This window comes from Homo sapiens, chromosome 9 (assembly GCF_000001405.40).
Source record: "Homo sapiens chromosome 9, GRCh38.p14 Primary Assembly".
In the NCBI taxonomy this organism is placed as follows: domain Eukaryota; kingdom Metazoa; phylum Chordata; class Mammalia; order Primates; family Hominidae; genus Homo; species Homo sapiens.
The window spans coordinates 89,941,265-89,948,024 of record NC_000009.12 but is presented as its reverse complement, the minus strand read 5'-3'; positions in this window follow the sequence as shown (position 1 = coordinate 89,948,024).

The window sequence follows — 6,760 nt, the reverse complement described above, 5'->3', positions numbered from 1 at the left end:
CCCAGTCTCAGGTAGTTCTTTATTGCAGTGTGAGAATGGACTAATAGAGTGGCTTTTCATGTGCAGTGTGAAGGGGAATTACTCACATCCCCCGATGGCTTCATGATCCTTTCCCACATCCACACAGCAATTTTCTCACACATGTTTGAAGTGTTCCAGAATCCAGCATTAATTATCAATGTAAGGAAAAATACAAGACTTTGGAATAAGCAAAAATATTACTGGGCATCCTCTCAATGGATGAGGGTGTCCCTCGGATGATCTGGACCTTAGGGATCAGAGACTTTTCTCCGAGCTGTTTAACACTACTGTAGATATTTTGGCTAACATGTGGAAAATTGATAGTAATGCAAATAATTGTTCATAGACATGCAAATCAATTATATCCCAAAAAGAAACAATGACTTTCCCTCCAAGCCAGTTTTGCTTCCGTTTACAAATTTGTTTCAATATTCTTAATCCATAAATTATTATTGGATTATCCTTTGAAACTTTTGTGACATTTTACTAGCTTCTTCACTTCAAAATGAGTTAAATAATTTGCACAGCCCTTGGTGATGTTATTACAGCTCATGTTTGATTTTGTCCCTGATTGTTAAGTGCTTCATAGGCACTCTGAGAGAAAGCAGTGCTATCTCGATGTAAACTCTTTGACGGCAAGAATGGGGTCTTTATGCCTACAAATGTCACCCTAAGAGTGTTGAATACAGAGGGAGACTCACCTGACCTTTCAGGTAAAATCTTATCAGTGAAAATCCCCAAAGCCCCATCGTTCACACTTGCCCTCCTTACAACCTGTGCCTGGGATCGCAAGCCTGTCCAGACATCATCACTTGTTCTCTTAACCTTTGCAAGTCCTTTGGAGGGAAATCTAGATAAGCACAACACACATTTTTGATGACCTAAGGATGACACCTTTGACAAATTTGTATTGCCCCTTAAATCACAGTATCTGACAACTCTTGTCAAAATTTGAGTTCTTGGCCTGCTGCCGATTGTTTTTGATAGCCTCCGTAGTCTTGGATTTAAGAGCTACTGTCAAGCAGTATCCTTCCTGTCTTTGTTACACAAGAAATCTGCTTTGCATTAAACTCTCTTTGAAAAAGTGTTTTGAAATATCATTAAAAAATGCTTTGTGATTGTACAGAGAACAGACTGCAAAGAACACAAACGACTCTGTTCTGGCATACCTAATTCCTCTTTGCTCTTGCATATTGAAAACATTACTGCAGGTGTCTGGATGCAGCAGCCAAATGATTCAGGTCAGCAAAATTCACCCTTGAAAACCCTCATAAGCCAATTATTTTCACCCTTCTCTCTTTCCTACTCAAATGTTGGAAGCACTGTTGGGTAAAACTCAGTGTTCAGAGAGCTATGAAAGCAGCACAGGGCCTTAGGTGTTCATTGGTGAGACTTTTAGAGCCAGACTGGTAGATATGTAAGTGTCACTTTGCAACCACTGCTTGCAGTTGCACCTCCCCAGGGATCTGACAGAAAAGAGATATGAACAGCAGAACTAGTAATAAAACCAAAGTCTTAGCATAGTTGGGGTAAGTTTGCATGTATAAGCAGCTTTCTCCTAAAAATGACAAGAGATCCATGTGGAGGAACTTCTGCCACAACCTTGAGACCAGAGCAGCAATGGGTCACTTGTTTCATCTCCTCTCTATTAGCCCATCCCTGCCTAACAGGTGGTCCTCTTGTCCATGAGCCTCTGGGAAAGACAGCCTGACAGCCTCCCCTAGAAAACCCTCGGTAGGTTCTCCAACGCCCATGTCCTATTTTGTTGTTTGATTTTTGTTTTTCTCTCCTGGTACCAAACTCTAATCATTCTGGAGCAATTTAGAGTCATTTCCTTTTGTTCATTCTTCTGTGGTGTCCAATCTTGCACTGCCCTCTGTGTGGATGATTTTAGTCCACGTGAAGATCATACAAGTAGACTCATTTCAACTTTGCATTTGAGGCAGACAACCTCACTTCTCTTAGTGTTCTGTTTGTTTTGCAGAAAACAAGGACACATTTAGCATCTTGGAGTGTCAAGTCCTCACAATGGCCTCTGCTCCCAGCTCTCTATTGGGGTGCAAGTGCAATATTTACCTTTGAGGGTCTGGTTTTCCATTTGTGAGATGATGTCATCTACACTGTCATACCTCCCAGAGATGGTCTACGTTCTCAAACAAAAGTAGAAAATGGGATCTGGGTCCTAGGGTGGCTTGTCCAAGTGATGGAACTGGATACAGGTGGAAGAGTCTTTAAGGAGGCAGCTGGGCCCTACTTCATTAGGAAGAGAAAGAAGAAAAGTGAACCACAGGGGTCTCTGGTGTGGCCTTGTGTTATCTTCCTTGTGTTCAGGGGTAGGTTTTTCAGGAAGATGCCAGGCTATCCCTCCACTTCCTGTGCACTCATGAGCTTTCAGGGCATGCATATCTAGGTGATCATAGTAGCCACCTCTGGGTGAAGGCCTACTGTGGGCTTGTTCTCCCTCCTTTCGCACAGGACCATCATGAGCCAGGCATCACCCCCTCCACTTCTGATGGTGAAGATGAGGGGAGAATGGGAGTGAGCTAGCAGCATCTGCATCTCCATGAGTAGTTGAGCTGGATGAGGCCTGGGGAGAAGAGGTGAGACCAGGCATGGTGACTGGGCAACGGGGCAGGAGAAGCTGAGGCTCCGACCGCAGTCAAACATGCCACTGACCACTAGGGGAAGCATGGTCTTGTGCGTTTCCAGACCATGCTCTGCAGAGCAGAGGAGACCCTCAAACCTTTGGAAAGGTGAATGGGGAAGAGGAAGGCTGAGGACCCCCACCTTTCTTTCCAACTGAGCCCCTTGGCCTCCAGTTCACACATTGGGCTTGTGTTCATGTTTCACCTAAAACAAAGTTCCACTGACTTAAAAAAAAAAAAAAAAAAAAAACACAACAAAAACAGTCTAAAGCACTGGGCGCAGTGGCTCACGCCTGTAATCCCAGTACTTTGGGAGGCTGAGGCAGGCAGATCACCTGAGGTCTGGAGTTTGAGACCAGCCTGGCCAATATGGTGCAACCTTGTCTCCACTAAGAATACAAAAATTACTCAAGCGTGGTGGCAGATGCCTATAATCCCAGCTACTCGGGAGGCTGAGGCAGGAGAATTGCTTGAGCCCAGGAGGCAGATGCAGTGAGCCGAGATCGTGCCATTGCATTCCAGTCTGGGTGACAAGAGTGAGACTGTCTCAAAAAATTTAAAAAAATTTTAAAAAGTGCCTGGTCTGAAGGATAAAATCCAAAGTCCCAGGGTAGCAATGCCTGGCATGCCTGGCTCCCATGCCTCAGCTGGGCCCTTCCTCTCCCTCCACCCCCCTGGGCTTTGCAGAGGGTTCCCTGCTCCCTGCCTCTGCACCTCTGTGCATGCCCTTCCTCCTCCCCTCCCCTGTGATGTCATTCTTGGGAGGCGCTCTCCAGCCTGCCTAGGATGAGGTAGCACTTCTCCCTTTGCTGCCTCCATAGTCCTCTGCAGCTTCATGGTAGAATAGTGGCTTCTCTCTGCTGTCTGGAGTGTGAGCCCTCTGTATTCCCACTCCTGGCATGGGCCTGGGACCTGGCACAAAGGAACAGCCTGTAGTTGGCTATGCATGGATGTAAGAACCTAAGGTGGGTGCATAGACTTGAGAGGGATGACACATGGACTTGCAATAGTCTCAATGGGTCTTCTATTCAGGAACCAGAAAAGCAGCCCAAACATAGCCTTTTCCGAACAGAGCTCACTAAAGAGGTTACTTACCCCAACACTCGGTAAGCTTTGAGTGACTTGCCTGATTTGATTAAATGCCTATGCTTTAATGTTATTTCTTTCTAAACATACTTGATTTATTCAGAAGGAGGAGCTGAAATCATAGAAAAAAACATTTTGTCCTACAAGGATTTTTTCAATGTCATAAATAAAATACATTTACAATACTTCAACCTTTAGATGCTTGGAAAACAGACCCCCGGGTGACAAAAAGAGTTGTAGCACATGAATATCGGTTTGTGTTACAAGCCAAATATTAAATAAAGGTAAGGAGTCATAAAATAAAAATGTTTACAGCCCTTGGCTGAGTCTGTGAATTTCACACACCTAATAGATCATCTGAAACACTCCAGAGGAAGACGAGACCCAGAGAGCAGACCTGACCAACCCAAGCCAGCAGAAAACACAGTCAAGGGTACCAGATGCTATAAGGAAACCCAGTCACCATGTGGGCTATTGGAACCTCTGCTTCTCCCCATAGCCTGTTTTCTCTAGCAAATGCCCTTGAAAGCTAATCAATAAAGAAAGTCATACATGTTATTCCTCCTGAAAAAAAGTAGCAGCAATAAGTAATAACTCCAATGTCTGGGGAGGGAAAGAGGTGCAAGGTCCCCCCAAAGGTGGGGCAGGGAGGGGGACATGATCAAAGAATCATGTCCCCAAGATCAAAGGCATCCTCTGGAGCCCTGACTGCAGGTGGGAGGATACAGCAGGAGCCCCTGTGAGTTGTGCTCTCACAACCACCACAGGCGCAAAGGATTTCCAGCTAGGATGAATGCTCAGAGGCACAGCCCCAAAGGCAGGTCCCACCCAAGGAGTCTGTGTTCCTTTTCTTTTTCTCAATCCACGTCCAGTGCATTAGAGTTGGTGCAGGGGTACACAAGACAATGCTGGGATTCCTTAGGGGGTGTTTGCTTTGCAAAGGAGGGTAGGTAACCTGACTCAGGAGGTCTTCAGGGTGCAGACACATGGAAATGCTATTTTAAGTCTAGCAGGTGGTGGAAACCACGTATAGTAGGAACAACTTCAGGGCTCTCCAGACAGCCACTGTCTTACTCAGTGGCCCATTATTCTCACCTGGCCTGTTCTAACTGCTCCTGTCATACCCCTGGATCCCTTCTCACACATGCCCACTGAAATCTATCATCACCACGGGCTCCTCCTAGAACATCTGGGCTTTTTTCGCTCTATTGCTCTAAAGCTGCTGCAGCACACACATTGTTAAAGAGACATAACCCTCCTCCTAATCTGTAGGACACTGCACAAAAAAGTCCAGTTGCTGAGCTTGGGGGAGGCTGGTTCGCACCCCGTCATTCAAGACCCTCCTCTTCAACTTCCATCTATCCACAGCCAGCCCCGCTGCGCTTCCTCAGCTCCCACACTCCAGCCTTGTGCCTCAGAGTCTGGCCCATTCCTTCTTTCCTCCCTCATCTTTCTCTCACAGCATCTCTCACTTTTCTGGATTTCTGAATTTCTGTGTCGGCCCGGGCTGCAGTCATCTTGAGACTTGCCTTGGGGAAGATCCACTCCTGAGGTTCACGCATGTGGCTGCTGGCAGGTGCTCAGGTTCTTATGGCTGTTAGCAAAAGACATCAGCCCCTTTCCACATGGGCAACTCACAACATGGCAGTGTGATTCAGTAGAGCAGGTGAGCTGTGAAGACTTGATGGGAGAGGTGGGTGCAAAGAGGGACAGACAGAGGGAAGTCACAGTCTTTCAATCACCTACTCTCAGATGTGACCTCTCTTCCCCTTTTCCGTATTCTATGTTAGAGTTAAGCCATAAGTCCTGCCCACCCCCATGGGGAGGGAACCCCAGGACTGTGAGCATCAGCGTAGCTTTCCCCGTCATTCACTCCAAGCAAGGTGTAGGGGTCTCCTTCACAGCCAAGCGCATCCTGTGTCATGCTATCTTTCACTCTCCAGTCCTTTCTGGATCTCCCTGCTTTCTCTGGGGCCAAATACCTTTCTTTATTTTTCCTTTATTTCTGAGTTTCTGGCTTCTGCCCTGCCCAGAACCCCTAGGTCTGCTAGAAAGCTGCCTTCCACACTTCCACATGGCTGGGGTGATGATAATACGACGGTGAATGTATCTGGTTTATTTCTTTTAGAAGCTCCCATACATTCCATATGTGTGATCTCATTAGCCTCCTAGCATCTCTGCAAACCAGAAGAGTGACAGGTGTTTACAAGGAGGGCATGGGCCTTAAGTAATCTCTTCAAAATTATAGGGTGAGTCACAGGGAGCACAAGGACTTAAATAGAAACTGCTTGGCTTGCAATGTGGTCCTTTTTCCACTCAGTTGATTGGCAAAGAGTTATTGCTTTTCTTCCACCAAGAAATGGGTGTTTACACCACCCAGATAAGCATGTTCCAAAATCTCCAGCACTCACCGACTGGGGCCAAGACAAAATCACCATTTTTTAGCCTGGCACAGTAGGTTCCCCATGCAATAATAGCTCTTCGTCCATGACAGGCCTCCCCACTTTTATCAGCCCCTTACCCACTATTTGAACCCTATACTACAGCTGAATTGCTGTAGCTCTTAGGGATGGTTGCTGCACCTGGACTGCCTCCCAAGACCCAGGATCATGGCAAACTGCACTCTTCCTCCAACCCTCAGCTCAGATGCTAAGCCCTTTCTCTTCCAGGACCAGTTGTAATGATTTCTGTCCATGATTTTAGTCATGAAACTGAGAGCAAAGCATGTGCCTTTTAATCTGCAATTTCAGCTTAAGCAGTGTTCTGCTTATTAGCTTTATTTTGCTAATTTGTTGTTGTTGCTGTTTGTTGTTGTTGTTGTTTGTTTTTTGTCTGTTTGTTTGTTTTTTGAGACAGGGTCTCACTCTGTCACCCAGACAGGAGCGCAGTGGCATGATCTCAGCTCACTGCAACCTCTGCCTCCCAGCCTCAAGCGATTCTCCTGCCTCAGCCTCCTGAGTAGCTGGGATTACAGGTGCGCACCACTACAGTCCGGCTAAGTTTTTGTG